Here is a 21,114-nt window from a genome sequence, read left to right as displayed (position 1 = left end):
TTCCTGTCAGTGTTATTTTCTTCTTTGATTTTATGTAGTTAGTATTATTATGTGCCATGAAAGAACTATATTTAAATCTTAAGAATTTTTAAAAACATTGTTTAAATTTAAATTCTCCGGTACTACAATATTGGTAGAAAAAAACCAGTTACATTTTTTTTTTTTAAAGCTCTTTCCCTCTTAAGCTTGCACAGAAGTTTTAGATAGTCATATATGGTAACAAGTTTTAGGAAAAAAAAAAAACATAGGCTGAAATAATGGTTACGTTTTCTAATATACAAGGAGTGAGGGCTGAGTTTGGGAAGGAATTCCTAAACACAGAACATCATAATAATCTTTCCTGGCTTCTTTAGAATGGAAAAATTGTGAAATATCTATAAAAGAAATTAAAAATTAAAACTAATATTTTATTTTTTTCTGACATTTGTACATTTGCTAGTGTCATAATGTTTTTATGATTTTAATGTTTTGAAATCTTGATTTTGACCTTTGGTAAAATAAATTCCAAGCTATAAAATTCGTAAGAATTCTTATAGAACAGCTATACAGTCTTTATCCTTTGCTGAGTTCTTTAGAATATTGTGTGGAAAGAAATTTAGAGTGCATGCTGAATATAATCTCTGTCATTGAGGCAGAAGTTCTTATGATCTCTTATGGCAGATGTAAAAAACCGAAATATTTATGTTTGTCAAGATGCACAGATATGAGTTAGTTATCTGCTGTATTAACAAACGCTTAATGAGTATAAGTGCATCAAAGTGAAGTTTGTAAGGAAATGTTTCGCTTTTCACTTAGAAAAATTTCTCAGTGGAGTGCATGAGGAAGAAAAACAATGTCATTTTTTAAAGTTGCACATTCCCCTCAGTTTAAGGACAAAAAGTTAATTGTTTCAGCTTCAGGAGATACTATATATTTAACCTATGTTGAGAGCCTACTAGTATATCACTAGGAATATACTAGAATCTTGGCATAATACAAACCTATGTTGATCTCAATTTAGTATAAAGTAGGTCCATTTGGACCTCATACAAATAGGGTGATATGAATGAAATTGCAGAGGGACTAGCCTTTTTTCAGCCATAGTAGCATGGATCCCAAAAATACTTTGAATGACTATCTCCATTTTATAAATGAGGAAACTAGTCTCAAAATCTAGAGTAAGAATCAACAAATTATTTTGTAATCTTGGACAAGTCACTGCTTTGCTTCTGGATCTAAATTTTCTCATTTTGATTGTTCAGTTATAGTTCTGTTGCATTTAACTTTTGTGCAAGAAGCCTAATAAGTAGCAACAGCTGACTTTTTGACTCTGTCCTTTCTTCATTATATTTTGCTGACTTCTGAAAACAATTTTTTTTTGTTATTTCTAGGTAACTTACAGACCATGATGGATTCATAGACATTGTATTTTGCTTCCACAATTCCTGTTGAGAATTTGTATATATCTGAACAGTTAAATGGTTATTTCATCCTGACACTGAAGGCAGTGAAAATAATGCAGTGATATGCAACACTAAGCCTGTTTCTCAAACTTTTTTATTGTAAATTTGATAAAGTAACTTAACCTCTCTGGGCTTCAATTTTCTCATCTGTGAGATAGTTAAATTAGATAATCTCTGAATGTCCATCTATAATAATAATAATAATTATTATTATTATTATTATTTGAGACGGAGTTTTGCTCTTGTTGCCCAGGCTGGAGTGCAGTGGCATTATTTCGGCTCACCGCAGCCTCTGCCTCATGGGTTCAAGCAGTTCTCCTGCCTCAGCCTCCCAAGTAGCTGGAATTACAGGCATGCACCACCACGCCCGGCTAGTTTTGTGTTTTTAATAGAGATGGGGTTTCTCCATGTTGGTCAGGCTGGTCTTGAACTCCCGACCTCAGGTGATCTGCCCACCTCAGCCTCCCAGAGTGCTGGGATTATAGGTGTGAGCCACCGCGCCCAGCCTATAATTCTTAAAAAGAGATGTAAGAAGCCAGAAATATAGTTTTTAGAGCTTGATGGCTGTTTAATGGAAAGGGCCAATAACAGGCAGGTAAAGTTTCTTCCTAGCAGATTTAAGTGGTGTTTTTGCCAAAAACAAAAGAATACAATTGATTTTTTAAAAAATATATTGACTTTATTTGATGTCAGTGAATAAGATTTTAATACGTAATAAAGTAAAACACCTGGGGAGAACAGTTTCCTGACAAAGAGAAATTTAGGAAGAGGGTAGAGACTTTCATTTCTAATATGTAATCAAACAGAGAAGCAAAATTTGAAGAAAAGATGCCTCTTGCCTTTTTGGGAAGGAAGCTGGAGAATTTATTAGACCCTATAAGAGTCTACAGTGGGATACTTGGATCGGCTTTCTGTGTTAAGGTGTATTTTTTCTGCTTGGAACGTAAATAAGTAGGAAAAATTTAATAGCATTTGAGTTGCTTGATTTATTGGCACAGCTCTATCTTTATCTGCACTTCCAAATGTTTCATCACCTCACTGTCTGTTTCTATGCATGTTAACATTTTAAAATGTGTTTTGGTAGTTTTCTAATTCATTGACACTACATGCTATATTGGCTTGTGCCCATCATTTTTTTAAAAAAGCAGATTTGTATTTTGATTTTTTTTTCATTGAGCTTACAAAAACTCAGATTTTTTTTAAAGCATATGCTTTAGAGCATTATTGAAATTAATAATTATTTTTTATATTTGTGTAGTTCTTCTCTACATAATTTTTTTTTCTTTTACAGATATTGATGATGCTCAAATACTTCCCCGCTCAACTAGAGTCAGACATTTTTCACAAAGTGAAGAAACTGGAAATGAAGTTTTTGGTGCTTTGAATGAGGAGCAGCCATTGCCTCGAAGTAGCAGCACTTCTGACATCTTGGAACCATTCACTGTTGAACGAGCCAAAGGTGCAGTTCCTGTCATTGACAGTTCATCCCGTCATGCACCAAGCTTGCAGAGTTCCACAGAGGCTTCTTCAATAACTAGATCCACTGAAAGCCACATCACTGATACTCATAGTAGAGAGTCTTCTCTGGAAGTTGGTGATAGCATATATGACCATCTTTGTCATTTAATAGGTCCAGTAGAACTTGCAGATTCAGCTTTTGAACAAATCCAGTACATTGACCTTGAAGGAGATGATGATCTTCTTTCCACCCTGAAAGAATATTTTAAGGAAAACCAGGAAAATCATAGTAAAAATGAGACAGGGAAAGACCCAGCTTCTCAGGAAGTGACTATTGCAGTAAATAGGGGTGAAAGATTATCCTTAGATAAATTAGAATGCACAGATCAGGAAACTGAATCAGAAAATATCACCTCTTTTGTTGGGACTCCTGAAAACCTACAGTTTCAGAAAGAACCAAACTCAGCTGTCTTCATGAGTAATATCGCACCTAACCAGTCAGACAGTTTTTTTAGAACACAAACTTCTGAAAAATCTAAGCAACTAAACACTGATAAACAGCCATCAGAGCCTAGTTTAGATAGCCCTTGTGATAAAGAAAAAAGGAAACATCTGTACAGACAAGCAGCCACAGAATTAGATGCTTGTGTTGATGTAACACTAGTTGAAAAGCTTAAGAGTGTGCAAATTAATGAAAAAATCACTGTCCCACATGTTATGCGTGCCAAGAAAGCAACACTAAAAGCACCTGTTAACCGCAGAATGCCTCATGTTACAAGTACTAGCAAACTTTCTCCAACTAAAAGGAGCTTGTCTGAAACAGTAACTCATAGAGCCAAAATCATGAAAATTGCTACTAAAAAACGAAATAGTGTTCATGTTACTTTTAGGCCATCCACTGAGTCCGTTCAGTTTTATAATCCTCTGGAAAACAAAGAGGCTCCATGGAAGATGAGACTGCGGAAGCTCGGTGGCTTTAGTAGTGGTAGCAGCAATAGCAGCACTAGCAACACCCATACCAGCACAAATAGTGCTACAGAGCTAGTAAAACCTGGTGTGTACAGACCTCTAGATACACTTGGTACTGCATCAGTAAGCAGCAAAACAGTGAAGGAATCCACAGAGATTCCCACCACCATATTACAAAAAGAAGGAATTGCAAGTAGTCAATTAGGTAGTCGTAGTACTCTTAGGTCATCAAGTCATGAGGCAGGACTACAGCAGGGCTCCCTGGGTGGCGTTTATAAAACTGTTGTACATGCTCTTTCGAAGCCGAAGGCAAATGTTTCCCCACAGAGGCAGAACAGAATGCCACCAGAGGCTCCACTGAGGGATCTGTACAGTCATGTAATGGGCTATTTTGGAAGGAAAGCTGCAGGTGAGCACTAACAGTGTGCAGAGCGCAAAAGGAGAAAGACAGCACCAGTTTGGCTTAATGCAACTGAAGCAAGCTATAAGCAATCAAAAAGCTTTGGGATGGTCACTGCTTTCTCTCTGTTTGGTTATGCATGCGCCTTTTCCCAGCTGTATTTTTCCCAGCATAGAATGTTTATTTAAATTACTAATTTCCCTTATAAGGCATTTAGTTAAACCTCTTTGCTGCTGAACAACAACATAGGAAAGTGGATATATAGGAAAATTTCAATAACCTATCAAAGACTACCTAAATCAAGTATTTTTCTGAGTGTATACCACAAGTATGGAAATTAAGATTATCAAGGAGTTACTATGCTTTCTTCCCCACCCCACTATAGTTTAAAAGGGCACCAGATATATCTAACTGATTTCACTTATTTTTACTGCTGATCTATTTGGTTTTGTATTTTTTCTTGATAGAAATTATTTTGACAACTAACATAATAGAAATCAAGGTCCTACAGCCAGCACCAACATTATAGTTAACTATCAGTGATGAGGAAATTATTTCTTAAATCTCAAAGTGAATTTAATCACTTTTCATTTAAGCCATTTCCAAACATGCTGTAGGCTTTTAGTTTTGCATTCATTTATATAGAATGCAAGTTATGTCCTTGAAACACTTTAATTACTTTGTTTTTTTCTGAGATTTTAAATGTGCATAAAGGTTTCACAGTAGCCACTCATGATTTAAATATGGAACCTCTATGGACAGATAACAGAAAGCAAGATTATGGTAACTGTTTTCTCTATCTTGAGTCAAAGTTAAAATAACTTTACATATATAGACTATTAACTTTCAGCAGTAAGGTTGGTTTTGATTTTATTTGTTTTAACATGGTTTTGTTAGCATGATTAACAACGCTGTATAATGCATCTTGCATTGAGCCATTAATGCCACCTGAGGGCAGTATTTGACAGCTTAGCAAAGCCTGGCCAGTAATATAAAGATAATGGTATTTCACAGTGAGCTTCTGACCAGTGTGTTTTTTTAATCTGAAATACTTTGTAGTTTATTAGGAATATAAACAGTGCTCATTTTCCTTTCATTGCAGAGAAATCAACTTTTCAATAGCATAGTAGTGACATAGATACCATATTATTTTCTATAAGTTAGTTTCCCAAGTCTAAAACTTTCTTGTTAATGTAAATGGTAAAAATAATAATAATGTAGTGATAAAAAAATCAAAATAACTATTTTGGGTTTTTTTGGTAAGAAAAACATTTGTGGAAGTCAACTTTTTATTCTTAAAGCATTAAAATTAGATTTTATAGTGGATAGAAACAGCAGTATATCAAAACCATAGAATTTGTATTTATAAATACTCAAATGCATTTGTATCCCACTGAGTTTTGCATAGATTCAAAGGATGTATTCCCTGCAAACGTTCTTTGGGGGAAATACGGAATTATAAATTGTTAAGGCTCTAAAAAGAAACATTGAGTCAGGAAAAAAGATAAATATACCAGTTTCTTTATAGGCAATATTAACCTAACTTCAGCTAGTGCTTATCTATAAGCTTTCTTGCTGTTTAAAGTTACACTGAAGATTGACTAACATCTGCTTAGTTAAATAAAGTAAATATCAATTTACTAATTCTTAAAATTAAATCTGAAAGAAGGGAAATTATTCATAAATGCATGTTTGGCAAATAATTGGCAAAGGTACTTTGTTTTGGGTTGTTGTTTGTTTCAAAGTTAGAAAATGCAGTTAAGTTTTTCCTCACTATATATAGTTATTTATTTATTTTTAGTCAATAAAGAGGACATGAGCCAAAAACTGCCTCCTCTTAATAGTGATATTGGCGGCAGCAGTGCTAATGTTCCTGATCTGATGGATGAGTTTATAGCAGAACGACTTCGAAGTGGTAATGCCTCGGTAAGTTTTATTTTATATATTTGGTTTTATAGAGGAGGGTAGAAAAACTAACAGATATATACCTATGTACATATATGTCAATTTATATATGGGAATTTTTATTCAAAATAACCTTTCCTCAAAATATAACCCTTTTTATGAATTAAGATTTTTGAATTACATTTTTATAACATTTTTTATCTAAAGACATAAACAGCCTCATAATTTTCACCAGGGTGAAAGATCAGACAGGTACCTGTGCACAAATACACAGGTATAAGCAACTACCTTCCTAGTCTCCCCTTTTTTTGTCTTTGCTCGTAGGTTACCCTGGTGCCAGCTGCAAGCCCTCAATGGGAAAGATAGCAATGGAGGTCTTCTGCCCCAGCTCCCGTAGTTATATAAATAAATAAATATAATCTAATATATAATTTAAAATAAAAATACATATATAATTTTTATTTTTGTCTCAAGATCTGCTTGTGAACCAGCTCCCATAGTTTTGCTAGCACAAATACTGCTTAACCATTTTAGATAACTTTGGAAGAGACTTAAAAGTTATCTTTATCTTGAATGTTAGGAGTATGGCAACATGAAAGCAGAAGCTCTTTTATCCCTAATAATGCTTAATTGTTAGGGAAGGATAAATATATATGGAACTAGTTTCTTTTGAGACAGAGTGTCGCTTTGTCGCCCAGGGTGGAGTGCAGTGCTCACTGCAGCCTCCGTCTCCCGGGTTCCAGCAATCCTCCTGCCTGAGCCCCCTGAGTAGCTAGGATTACAGGTGCACACCACCATGCCTGGATAATTGTTCTATTTTTAGTAGAGACAGGGTTTCACCATGTTGGCCAGACTGGTCTCGAACTCCTGACCTCAGGTGATCTGCCCACCTCAGCCTCCCAAAGTGCTGGGATTACCAGAGTGAGCCACTGTGCTGGACCTGGAATTGCTTTTTTTAAACTGTCATATTTCATTTGGGTTTGACTTCTCTATAACTCCATTATATACCCCGCCCCTTTCTTTTTAGGCTTACTTTTTTCCCTTGAGTGGATAAAAATCATTGAATGACATCTTTGCTGTCATTCTTTCCACTCTTCCACTGTCTTTTTTATTTGCTGCTTTTTTTCCACTAAATACTCTTTCTGCTGTTTTAATTTATATTCACTGCATGGATCCTGCTGAGGCTTAAGAGTCACAGGCCCAGCATCATGTGATATTTGGGTCTTTAGGCAGACCAACAATAGGTCAGGCTCTAGCTCCATTCAGTTACATAGATTGTTTGGTGAGTGTGTTCTCCACTCCTACTTCAGCCTCTAAATCTCAGCATTTATTGTGATGGTTTGGAAATTAAAGGTTTCAGATGGTTAAAGAGAATAAAAGCTTTTTCTTAATGGTAAAATATTTCTTGAACGTTTAGACTATGACAAGAAGAGGAAGTAGTCCAGGCAGCCTGGAAATTCCCAAAGACCTCCCTGATATTCTAAACAAGCAGAACCAGATGCGCCCTATTGATGACCCAGGTGTGCCCTCAGAATGGACTTCTCCTGCCAGTGCAGGGAGCAGTGATCTTATCAGCTCAGATAGTCATTCGGATTCTTTCAGCGCTTTCCAATATGATGGCCGAAAATTTGACAGCAAGTATCTTTTCTATTTGAATACTATGTTTTATGTTGATTGTCTTCTGTTCAAGACTGACTTACGGATTATGTAGCCATCACCTTCCTCTCCAGTGTTACTTAGGCAGTGGCTCCCACGTTAGAAAAAAAAAAATTAGATATTTGGTCTTGCTATGTTGTCTGGGCTAGTCTTGAACTCCTGGCCTGAAGCAGTCCTCCTGCGTCAGCCTTCCGAGTAGCTGGGATTACAGGTGCAAGGCATCATTCTTGGCCCCACTTATTTTTATTTCAATTTTCAGTGAAATTTCAAAGGAAGTTTTAGGGAATCACCTTAAGTTGAAGCTACTTTATGTTGCCAAATTAAGAGCATTTAAAAAACAAAAAATGTGATCCCTTCTTAAAAGAAATGACATTTTTAAGACCAAAACTGTAGAAAGGAAAATAATTTAGGATAGACCTGTTACTAAAAAGCCAGTCATGATTATGAGTTGCCACTGTTTCACACACTCATATTTGAGAACCAAATATTTGGATTATGTTCAATGCTACAGTACCCAGAACTTCCTTTGAATAATTGCCCCTTGTTACAATAACATCAGTAATATTATTTGGTGCTATATTATTACCACTTAGTTATTCAGCTATAATTCTATATTGCACTTGGCAGTCAGTGAAGGGCACCAAATTTTTAAAAAAGAAGTCAAAACCTTGGGAACTAAGTTTGTGAAGAGCTGGGATATGCATTGGAGAATTACATGTTTCCTCCCTTCATGGCTTGTACACTATCCCGATCTACTTATAATCTTCAGAGTATTAAGATTATTTACACTTGTCTGAGTGATATGTAAACAGAATAGATGTACGGGGAATGTTTATGTTTGATCATTTTGCTGATTTAGCTCTCGTAAATATTTTTACTTTGTAATTGGGACTCATATAATAACATTTCTTCTTCCTATAGATTTTGGCTTTGGAACCGACACTGGGGTTACGTCCTCTGCTGATGTGGATTCAGGTTCTGGCCATCATCAGAGTGCTGAAGAGCAGGAAGTGGCTAGTCTAACTACTCTTCATATAGATTCTGAAACAAGCAGTCTTAATCAGCAAGCTTTCTCTGCTGAAGTTGCAACTATTACTGGTAAAGTTATTCATGGGAATGTGTTTCTTAAATGTATTTTTTAAGCCTTCAAAGAATTTGATTAAAATTTTGAGAGATTTTAAGTATTACTTATTACTATTTAAGTATATTTTTTCATTCATCTTTATGTAACAATGAAGGGGAGAAAAGACATTAGTTTCTTGACCTGAGGTCCACTGGGTTAAGCTTCAGAGGACTCTGTGAACTTGTAGTATTTTATGCAATATTTTGTATATATATGCACTAGAACATTTTCTGCAGGATTAAAAAAAAATTTTAATGGGAACATAATAGATGTATATGTATATGGAGTACATGAGATAGTTGGAGTGATTTTTAAAATAAATAAAAAAGTTAAAAGTAGTGGACTGTCTTTGTCATTCAGAGTTAGCCTAGATTTTTATGATTTCTTTAGCAAAGTATTTATTATAGAAAATATAAAGCACACTGCTTAATAGAAGGCCTGTTTGTCAATATACTAATATTCTGTGTTTAGATAGTAGTTTGTGCTTTTTGGAAACTTTTTACATGTAGTCAAACCCAACCATAATGTGATAAGTGGAGTCTTCAATCATGTTAAATGCAGAGTCACATTATTGCAATGTTAGTGAAGTGATTAGAATGAGCCTGAGCAGCTAGTAGACCATAGTTCTTGGGGGTTCCACTCTATAATCCAACCTCACTGTGGTTCCGGCTACAGTTTGCCCCTTGATGAGTGGTTATCCACTCCAGCTTAATTATCCATGGGGTGATTTTGCATCTTGTGGTTGGCTGGAACTTGCAAGACTGGCGCAGTGATTTCTGCATCTCTAAACTAGTCAAGCATATTTCCTCAGCCAGCCCAGACAGAGGTAATTTGAGCCAGGGGAATTCTAAAAGTTAGAAATCCATTCTCTGTTTTCATATCCTGCCTCCTTTTTTCCCAGATGGCAAGAACTTTAGCAGCCCCATTGCAGAATATGGCCCTAGTGGAGAATGGGAACCAATTGGGTTAGAGCTACAGTTCCATCATTATAGGATTTAAATTACTCAAAGTGGAATACTAGAGAAAATTCTTATTTTATAATGAATACCTCTTACTTTAGTTGTTTTTAAATGTAAATGAAAAGATACTTAACATTGATAGTAACCAGAGAATGCAAATAAAAACTACAATGAGACCCTACTACGCATACTGAAATTGTTCAAGTTAAAAACACTGACGGCCGGGCATGGTGGCTCACACCTGTAATCCCAGCACTTTGGGGAGCCGAGGCGGGCAGATCACAAGGTCAGGAGATCGAGACCATCCTGGCTAATAGGGTGAAACCCCATCTCTACTAAAAATACAAAAAACAAAAATTAGCCAGGCGTGGTGGCGGGCGCGTATAGTCCCAGCTACTCGGGAGGCTGAGGCAGGAGAATGGCATGAACCCGGGAGGCAGAGCTTGCAGTGAGCCAAGATCACACCACTGCACTCCAGCCTGGGCAACAGAGCAAGACTCCGTCTCAAAAAAAAAAAAACCACACACTGACAATCCAAAGTGTTGAAATGAGTGTGGAGCAACTAGAATCGCATACATTGCTAGTAAGAATGTAAACTGATCAAGTCACTCTGGGAAAATATGGCAGTAACTTTTAAAGTTAAACATACGTTTATTATGTGACCATTTTTAGGTATGTATTTTCCTTGGACAGTTGTACGCAAAAGATCATGGCAGCTTTATTCACAGTAGTTAAAAATTGAAAACAAACCAAATGTCCATCAATTGGTGAGTGGATAAATAAATTGTAGTATATTCATTTATTGAATATTCACTGAAATAATACTCAGTAATGAAACAGAATTAAATATTAATATATGCAAAAACATAAGTGAATCTTGAAAATGTGCTAAATGAAAGAAGTCAAATACAAAATACTCCATAATTATACGTTATTATTCTATGTGTATAACATTCTAAAAAAGAAAAAACTGTAGTGACAAAGTAAATCACCACTTACTTGGGAAGGATAGGTGTCAGTTGAGGGGATCGACTACAGATGGGCATAAGAAAACTTTATGGTGATGGAACTGTTTTATATTTTGTTTGTGATGTTGGTTACAAGACCATGTGCAGTTGCCATTTTTCAAATAACTGTATACTTAAAGGTGGGTGTGTTTAAAAAAAATGTAGGCTTTATGTTCTGTAAAACAAATTTTAATACTATCAAAACTTTAAGCTATTAATCAGACTGTTGTGTTTCCAAAAGATTTCCATATACAGAAGAAAAAGATATTTTTTATTTCTTAATTCTCTGTAGTTATCAAAAATAAAGTTCCAAACAAAAGTTCTAAAAATAAAATGATGTATATGGAGAACCTGTTTTAGGTCTTTTGCCTTTATGTTTTTTGGATAATTAACTTCTAAGAAATTTTAATATTTATGTAACCTATATTTACTCTATGTAGTGACTATTTTTAGGTCTCTCCTGGGAAGTTTTATTAGGCATTCTAATCTTAATCAGTACCATTAGTAACAGCACAGAGGTGTTTAAGAAACTAAGGCAGTTGTATTTGTTTCTGTTTAGAAGGCACAAAATTCAACAAAGATAAAACTCCATATACACAATGTATAAATGATTCAGTACAGTATTTTCCAAGAGTGAAGTTTGCATACATTATCATACTACTAACGCAATAGTACTTTATGAAAGGGATGTTAGTAGTCCTGAAATCATCTATTTTCCTATAACATAGAAGTTTTCAGAAACTACGAAAGAAATCTAGTATAGGAAACAAGAATGAAAATTAGATAACCTCTTTTTAGGTCATGAATATCATTATAGGAATAGTTTTATTGCTTTAAAAAAACCGTTCAAGAGGAAAAAGCCTCTTAAGTAAGTGAGCCATTATAGATTTTTAAAAATAAAATAGGCCGGGCGTGGTGGCTCACACCTGTAATCCCAGCACTTTGGAAGGCCGAGGCGGGTGGATCACGAGGTCAGGAGATTGAGACCATCCTGGCTAACACGGTGAAACCCCGTCTCTACTAAAAATACAAAAAATTAGCCGGGCGTGGTGGTGGGCACCTGTAGTCCTAGCTACTCGGGAGGCTGAGGCAGGAGAATAGTGTGAACCCGGGAGGCAGAGCTTGCAGTGAGCTGAGATTGCACCACTGCACTCCAGCCTGGGGGACAAAGCGAGACTCTGTCTCAAACAAAAACAAAAAAGCAAAAAATAAATAAATAAATAAATAAATAAATAAAATTAAAGGCAGTAGTGATTCTCTGGTGATTCTGTGATAGCTGATATAAAAGTATTTAAAATCTTAGTTCTTGGCTTGGTGTGGTGGCTCATGCCTGTAATCCCAGTACTTTGGGAGGCTGAGGCAGTTGAATCACCTGAGGTCAGGAGTTCGAGACCAGCCTGGCCAACACAGTGAAACTTCCCTCTCTACTAAAGATACAAAAAATTAGCCAGGCATGGTGGTGGACACCTGTAATCCCAGCTACTTGGGAGGCTGAGGCAGGAGAATTGCTTGAACCCAGGAGGCAGAGGTTGCAGTGAGCCACGATCATGCCGCTGCATTCCACCCTGAGCAACAGAGCGAGACTCCATCTCAGAAAAAATAATGATAATAAAATAAAATCTAGTTCTTAAAAATGAATTCGATTTTTATGGATCAAAACAATACATGGAGATAAAAAGGTTTATATTTCAAAGCATTTGACCAAAGGCTGATGTCTCTTTGGCATGTACTTAAAAGTTTTTGGTAAACATTAAGGTTATAATTTTCATTATGCCTTCAGCAGTATGTGTTTGTCCTAAGATATAGAATACTTAAGTTTCTGTAACTGTCCTTTAACATATGATTTTTGTGCCATATGAATTTACTCCAAATCTCAAATAAAGGAAAGGAAACTTTTCACCTACTATGTAACATAATTGAGCCTAGATAGGGTCATATGATTACTCATTTGATATATGATTATCATATGATTATATGATTATTGTGATAACACCTGATATCACAATCCAGTTCTATATGTACTTTTTTAGGCACTTACTTACTGTGCTACTACTTAAAAAAAATGCCTGTATGATATGTGGAATTGCACTTTTATAGAATTAAAATAATATAAATGTAGATCGTCCTTGACTTACTATAATTAACAACTTACAATTTTTCAACTTTACAGTGGTGTGAAAGCAATTCTCATTCAGTAGAAACCTTACTTCAAATACTCATACAACCATTCTGTTTTTCACTTTCAGTACAGTAGTCAGTAAATTACATGAGATAGTCAATACTTTATTACAAAACAGGCTTTGCATTAGATGATTTTGCCCAACTGTAAGCTAATTTAAGTGTTCTGAGCATGTTTAGGGTAGGCTAGGCTAAGCTATGATGTTCAGTTGATTAGGTGTATTAGGTACAATTTTGACTTACCATATTTTCAATTTACAGTGAGTTTCTTGGGGTGTAACCCCATCATAAGTCAAGGAGCATCTGTATGTATTTAATTTATATTGGTTTTTTGCTTTACTGTGTAGAAAGAGGTAATGAGGGCAGAGGTTTACAGGTACTGAGTTCAGAATATTGATATTTTTCTGCTACAAAGAAGCTTAAAATAAAAAGACCTACTGTTTTAACAACTTGCTTGGTAGTAGCGGCACTATATTATAACCACCACAAGTTGTTCAATACAGCATTAATTTGTGCTATACTTTATTTAAGTTAACAAAAGTACCTGCTATGCACCAGGTACTATACCCAGGCACTAGCACTACTACAGTATATAACAGAATTTCTGTTCTTACAAAGTTTATACTCTGCTGGGGAATATTTAAAATTGAATGGGCAGTTTCAAGTCAGTGTGATAAGTGGTATAATAGAGAGGTGCAGGGTTCAGTGAGAGCATCTAGCAGAGACTCTGTAATCATACTTGGCAGAATCAGGAGTAGGCTTCTCAAGGAAGCAGAGACCTGGAAAATAAATAGGAGTTAACCAGGCCGAAAAGAGGATTAGGGCTCCATGCAAAGGAAAAAGCCAGAGGTATGATGCAATAATACTCTAATAAATACAAGTAGTTTACTTTCTATGACTAGACATAGAAGTTCTAGGTGGGTTGTGGGGAGGCAAGAAAGTTATAGAGAGACTTGAGAACCATACTAGGAAGTTAGGGCTTATGCTGAGGCCAGTGAGGGGCCACTGAAGGATTTTAAATGAGGAAGTGACAGGATCAAATTAGATTTTTAGATCTTTTTGCTGACTTATGGAGAATGGATTGGGAGGGGGAAGTCAGGATGTGGGAGAGACTGAAGGCTGGGAACCACTGTAAACCAAGCATTGATAGTTGCATATAGAGCAGCAGTGAGCAAGTGCCTCAGTTCTTAAATTGCCCCAAGTCTGATTTAAGTGAAATAGAATGACAGTAGGTACTAGAGTTTCTATAGCTGGGCCAGAAATGGGAGTAGATATTCTTAGTTTCACTAATGGCTCCTGTCATTTGGTACATCCAGTTTTGATTCTATACTATTAATAGTCCCATGGTAGACATGAGAGGAGACTCCTAGATATAAAAGCTTGTATAATATTATGATTTTCTTGACCTCCCTGGCCAGTTTATAACTGGTTTTATCTTTTGGTGTTTAAAATTTCTTTTATTTAGGGTGTTAAGCATTACATCTTAGGTAGGATATTGAATACTCTTTATGGTAATTTTATGAAATTATATTTACAGGTTCAGAAAGTGCTTCCCCAGTCCACTCACCTCTGGGCTCCAGGTCACAGACTCCTTCCCCTTCTACATTGAATATAGATCACATGGAACAGAAGGATCTGCAGCTCGACGAGAAGCTCCACCACTCTGTTCTTCAGACACCAGATGATCTAGGCAATATTTCAAAATTAGATATTTACCTTTTTTCTTTTAGGGCGTCAGTGTCAGGAGATCATAAATAAGGCATCTTACATTTGATTATATATGATTATTGTAAATATTTTGGACTTTTCTAAGTCCTTTGGAAATTTGTTAATGTAACTTTTTTCTTGTTCTTAAAGATATTTGTTGTCTGAGTTTTATTCATTTTATTATAGTTGATTAGAGTCCTCAAATTAGTTATTGCATTATTTTCAAGTATTGTATTATCATTTATTGATATTGGTAGTGTTTCCTAAAACAGGAAATACATAATTTGGCATCCTTATTCTTAGTTTTATACCTAAAGAACCTAGTAACTCACAGGAGAACGTAGTAACATTATCACTTGTTAATCAAGCTTTCAGTGAAACAGTTTATCAAACCATTTTTTTTATTTTGATTCAGCAAATTTGTCAACTAAATTTAATTTAAAAGTAGAGGTCCAAATGAATATTTTCAAGTAAATGTTAAAAAGTGACTTGGGAAACCTAAGTAACTGCCAAGTTTTTTTTAAAGTTATTTTTGCTAGATTTTGTATAATGTAACAAACATCAGACAAATATGCACATTTATGGCATATGCAAATATGCCATAAATTGGTCAAAGACACAGTTAATGAGATATTTACAATGAATGAAAAGCTAGTTTTCATTGATAAGGTAGCACATTTATTCTCTGACGAAAGGAAGAAATTTAAAACTATATAACTTCTAAACTTCTTTTAAGAAACCCGTTTATTTTAAAACTAACTGTAGAGGTGAGGTTTCACCATGTTGCCCAGGCTGGTCTTAAGCTTCTGAGCTCAAGTGACCCGCCTGCCTCGGCCTCCCAAGATTACGGGTGTGAGCCACCACACCCGGCCCAAGGGACCCATTCGTTAACTTGCAATTGCCTTGTAATTATATAGCCCTAATTTTCTGGTTTGTGGATTATTTCTGACCTTTTCTTTTTCTCCTTTGATCTGCAGTTGTTTATTTGTTTACAGTTATTTCCCCAACATTTGGAAAAAAACTTCAGTTATAGAAGTGTTTCAAGGCTAGTAAAATGAATGCACATAAACCCTTTATATAAATTCATCAATTAATATTTTGCCACTTTGTCTATATTTACACACAGCACATATATGCACAAAATAGCCTGCCCTTCCCACATGTCTCCCTAACCTTTTATTTTTGCTGAGGCATGTAAGAGGAAATTGCAAATATCAGATCCTTCAGACCTAAACATGTCAGTGGATATGTCCTAATAAGTGTATGTTTTCTGCGTAACCACAATATAATGGCCATATTCATGATATTTAACATAGATACATTGCTGTTATTTTAGTCTATAGTCGTAAGTCCTCAATTGTCCCAATAATGCCCTTTATAGCTACCCCACACCGTCAGCAATCCAATAAAGAATTTAATCAGGCTGGGCACCGTGGCTCACGCCTGTCATCCCAGCACTTTGGGAGGCAAAGGCAGGTGGATCACCTGAGGTCAGGAGTTCGAGACCAGTCTGGTCAACATGGTGAAACCCTGTCTCTACTAAAAATACAAAAATTAGCTGATCATGGTGGCACACGCCTGTCATCCCAGCTACTCGGTAGGCTGAGGCAGGAAAATTACTTAAACCTGGGATGTGGAGGTTGCAGTGAACTGAGGTCGTGCTGCCACTGTACTCCAACCTGGGTAACAGAGTGAGACTGTCTCAAAAAAAAAAAAAAGAATTTAATCAAAGACCACACATTGTTGCTTGCTTTTTAATCATTTAAAATTTTGTTAGCTTTGAAAAGGGTAAGTTAGAGGCAAATCGGCTGATTTATCATTGTATTTTGAAGGTGCTCTGGAGTAGGGAGGCATTAGCAATAATGGTTAACACTTCAGTGTGTTTTGTTTGTTTTAGTGGCTTTACACAAGAAACCTTTTTTTTTTCTTGTAATGGAGAAAGACTAGTACCTTTTTAATAATACAGTCAGTTATATACTTTATATGTAAAGAGAAAAAAGTTAACCATTAGGAGTAAAGAATGTACATGTACTAAGAAGTGATTATAAATTCTCAATATGTTGGAATGTTTTCAAGTGTGAGAAATCATAACTTTATGGTTCTTTCAGTCTACAAAATTTTTAGTTCCCAAAGTTCTTTAGATGCATAGATATCTTTATTGTCTTTTTAATTATTTTCTATAGCCTTTTCCATTATATACATTGAGTAGAATAATGGATTTTTTTTTAAAGCTGGAGGCAACCTATAATGATATCTAGCAAAACCATCTATTTTACAGATTAGGACATGTATCCTTAGAGAGGTTATTAAATAACTTTTATAACACATAATTAGTAGCAGAAAGAGACTAGAACTAAGATTACCTATGTTTCTTATAATCTTGCCAGTATTCGTAGGCAAAATACAATTATGGTAATTTTGATTATGTTTAAATTTTAGTTAAAATGTTTATTTTTCGGTCGGGTGCGGTGGCTCACGCCTGTAATCCCGACACTTTGGGAGGCCAAGGTGGGCGGATCATGAGGTCAGGAGTTTGAGACCAGTCTGGCCAACATAGTGAAACCCTGTTTAAACTAAAAATACAAAAAAATTAGCCGGATGTGGTGGTGTGAGCCTGTAATCCCAGCTACTTGGGAGGCTGAGGCAGGAGAATTGCGTGAACCCAGCAGACAGAGGTTGCAGTAAGTCAAGATCACGCCATTGCACTCCAGCCTGGGAGAGAGTGCAAGACTCCATCTCAAAAAGTTTATTTTTCATGCCATTATGCTAACTCTTAATGCTGGTCTGGGATGTAGCTACAAAGAAAAGGCTTAGGAAGACTTCCTACACCATCTGCCTTTAGCCTGAGGTTTTCCATTAATTTGATGATATAACCTGAAGTTGCTATTAGATAAAAGTGAGAGTATGTGCTTATAAATTTGATGTTTTTATCAAACAGATTTCTCTATCTGCATAGATAGAAATTTCTCTATCTGCAGAGTGAGTAGTAGTTACATAGAATCACTATTGAATAGCTAGTTAACATAATGCTTACAATAATTCCTTATTATTATCTCATAATAATAAGTGAGGTTTTGACCTTATCGGGAAAAAATAATGTATGTTGACATTTCTTTTATTCATTTCTGTAGATATTTAAGATTGTTAATTTAGCTTGGTTTCTTGGGGGGTTTTATGTTCAGTTCACTGAAAAATGGCTGACACTATATATTTTTTTCTATAGAAATTAGTGAATTTCCATCAGAATGTTGTAGTGTGATGGCAGGAGGTACTCTGACTGGATGGCATGCTGATGTTGCTACTGTAATGTGGCGAAGAATGCTAGGCATTTTGGGAGATGTAAATTCAATCATGGATCCTGAAATACATGCTCAAGTTTTTGATTACCTCTGTGAACTTTGGCAGAATCTAGCTAAGGTAAAAAAGAAATAGCGGATATAAGTGGAGAAGAAAATAAAAATATTTAAAAATAGAAGAAGCCTTAGAAAACATTTGTGACACCCTTTTTGACTATAAACTGGTACCCTGCATGGCAAAGTCACTTAATTGTAATTAAATAGTAAGTGTAGAAACTGGATTTGAAATTCAGTTTAAGGTAAACTGGAAGAGATAACAGTTTTCTTAGGTTTGTTGCTTTTTATTTGAAAATTACAGATTAGAGATAACCTTGGCATTTCAACTGATAACCTGACCTCCCCTTCTCCACCAGTTTTAATTCCTCCACTGAGAATTCTTACACCTTGGCTTTTTAAGGTAAGCTTAATATATAAAATATTAGTTTAAAACTTCTCATTTACTAAATCTTAAACTTTTTATAGAGATTTTGGCTATTATATAGACTTCTAGAGCACTTAGTTTTTAACCAGTATCCTTAGGAAGTCATTAGGCATTATATAGAGAAGAGAATGTGCATACTAAAATTACTCGGGATTTATTGCTTTTGATTATTTCATAAAACAAAAGTGAATATAGAGAGGTATGTCTGTATTGTATTTAACTGAAGTATAAACTTTGAGTTGTATCACAGAATATGCTGTGTATTAAAAGTTGTGACCGGGTGAGGTGACTCACACCTGTAATCGCAGCACTTTGGGAGGCTGAGCCGGGTGGATCACATGAGGTCAGGAGTTTGAGACCAGCCTGGCCAACATGGTGAAACCCTGTCTCTACTAAAAATACAAAAAATTAGCTGGGCATGGTGGTGGGCACCTGTAATCCCAGCTACTCGAGAGGCTGAGGCAGGAGAATCGCTTGAACATAGGAGGCGGAGGTTGCAGTGAGCTGAGATGGCGCCATTGCACTCCAGCCTGTGTGATGAGAGCGAAACTCCGTCTCAAAAAAAAAATTTTAATTCTTTTTTGTTTGTTTTTTAAAAGACAGGGCCTCACTCAGTCACCCAGACTTGGAGTGCAGTGGCATGATCACAGCTCACTGCAGCCTTGAACTCCTGGGCTCAAGCAATCCTCCCACTTCAGCCTTCCAAGTAGCTGAGACTACTACAGGCGTGTGCCACCGTGCCTGGCTAATTTTTTATTTTTTTGTAAAGACAGAGTTTCTCTATGTTGCCCAGGCTGGTCTCAAACTCCTGGCCTCAAGAGACCCTTCTGCCTTGGTCTTCCAAAGTGCTGGGATTACAGGCTTAAGCCACTGTGCCCAGCCAAAAGATTTAATTATTTTAAGTATTGATATGTTTGGTACATTTTCCTAAGTGGAACAGTTTATGGTTATACCTACATTGTATCATTTTGGATGATGATAATTTCACTAATCCTGAATTTTAGTTCATTAAAGAAATTGGGCCAACATGGAAATAAATGAGATTATATACATCGTTTGCTATATTCAGTTGCTTAAGTTATTTAGCAAATAGTATTTCTTTTTGAACATTAAAACTGATCTTTTAATTTTAGGCAACCATGTTGACTGATAAATATAAACAAGGTAAATTACATGCATATAAACTTATTTGTAATACAATGAAAAGAAGACAAGATGTTTCTCCAAATAGAGATTTTCTAACACATTTCTACAATATAATGCATTGTGGATTACTTCATATTGACCAGGTAACTATATATATATGTATCATCTAAGAAGTAGTTTATATCATATTATCTTTGATTCTTGATTCTGTTTAACTCTTGCTTTTTAAGGTCTAGAAGTTAAACTCTCCCCCTTATTTAGTGATTTATATACAATTTACTTCAATTTTATGACCTTATTTGTTCTTGAAACATGGTTGAAAATCAAGCTATTATTGTAGGTAGAGGATTGACTTGAGTAGTTCTCCATCTTTAATGTTGTACCAACCAGTTCACTTTTTGAAGCAATTAAACCATCCTTTGCTTAGGCTGATACCTTTCTTTAATAATATTCTAATGTACCTACTCTTAGGCATTTTGTGACTGATACTTGAGGCATATGGATTCGTTTATCTAGTTATGCAACAGTCAGGTTTTTTTCAATCTAAGAATCAGCACATCACATTTTCTTATTACTGTCAATTATATTGGCATAGTGACAGTTACATTGATTTGATAATTATATGAGGTATAATCATTAAATAGTCATAAATATAACCTTAGAATTACTTTGGGAGTCTTGATATTGGCCATAAACTAACAAGTGTAGGAGGTTGCAAGTCAGAATAATGTAAATATGTTTATCCTAATATGATGAACTCGTAGGTCATTTACAGAGTATATTAATATTAAAAGATAATATCTTTCTGAAAAATGTAAAATTTTTGCATTAATTTAAAATTAGTGTGCTACCTTGTAAACATGTCTCAAGTAAAATGACTCTCTTAATTATTAGAAGAAGAGAGCTTTTGTTTAAGATAAGTTGTAATGAATAATACAACTGAATACACTGTATCCTCATAGTAAATTCCAAAGGCAAAGTAAATGAATAATGAAGTTAGGAACATTCCCTTAAAAGTGCCTAGGTCTAGATTTCTGAGGCTTGATACCTATCATTAAAGGACTTCAGTTTATTTTAAAAAGAGAATCTTTCCAATTGTCACGTAACGGGTCATGTGGATTCAGAAATGAGAGTTATTGCACAGAAGCAACTAGGTGACAGGAGAAAACTGCTATGCAGTTTAGTTTTACATTGTGTGGGCCTTGTACTTTTAACCTTGTGAAGCAAAGAGCCTTCCTTAATCTCTAGTGTGAAAAAAATGCTGTTATTTATGCCAGTTAAATGAATGTATTTTCAGTTTACTTTCCATTGATAGAATATAATATTAAGCATGGATTATTTGGAAGAATTGAAATTAGTCTTTCCAGTTAGCCAATGTACAGTAATT

The 21,114-nt window shown here is 35.4% G+C and overlaps 1 protein-coding gene across 24 annotated transcripts in view; it reads left to right on the top strand.

Moving 5' to 3' along the window:
* RALGAPA1 (Ral GTPase activating protein catalytic subunit alpha 1) overlaps positions 1–21,114 on the top strand; it is a 270,940-nt gene that overhangs the window by 116,559 nt on the left and 133,267 nt on the right. For 13 of the 24 annotated variants that reach the window (XR_007063998.1, XM_047431182.1, XM_006720100.5 and 10 more), the window contains 8 exons: positions 2,734–4,278; positions 6,071–6,195; positions 7,592–7,808; positions 8,752–8,928; positions 14,635–14,787; positions 18,028–18,221; positions 18,459–18,557; positions 19,715–19,870. Coding sequence is in view for 23 of the 24 variants with exons in the window: in XM_047431182.1 (XP_047287138.1) it covers positions 2,734–4,278; positions 6,071–6,195; positions 7,592–7,808; positions 8,752–8,928; positions 14,635–14,787; positions 18,028–18,221; positions 18,459–18,557; positions 19,715–19,870 (2,666 nt within the window). In the remaining variant the exon portion in view is untranslated. Of the gene's footprint in view, positions 1–2,733; positions 4,279–6,070; positions 6,196–7,591; positions 7,809–8,751; positions 8,929–14,634; positions 14,788–18,027; positions 18,222–18,458; positions 18,558–19,714; positions 19,871–21,114 lie in introns of those variants that run through there. The other 11 variants (NM_194301.4, NM_001346246.2, NM_014990.3 and 8 more) reach the window with 4 other exon arrangements.

This window comes from Homo sapiens, chromosome 14 (genome assembly GCF_000001405.40).
Source record: "Homo sapiens chromosome 14, GRCh38.p14 Primary Assembly".
NCBI classification, from domain to species: domain Eukaryota; kingdom Metazoa; phylum Chordata; class Mammalia; order Primates; family Hominidae; genus Homo; species Homo sapiens.
This window is presented reverse-complemented; position numbering and strand designations above follow the sequence as displayed.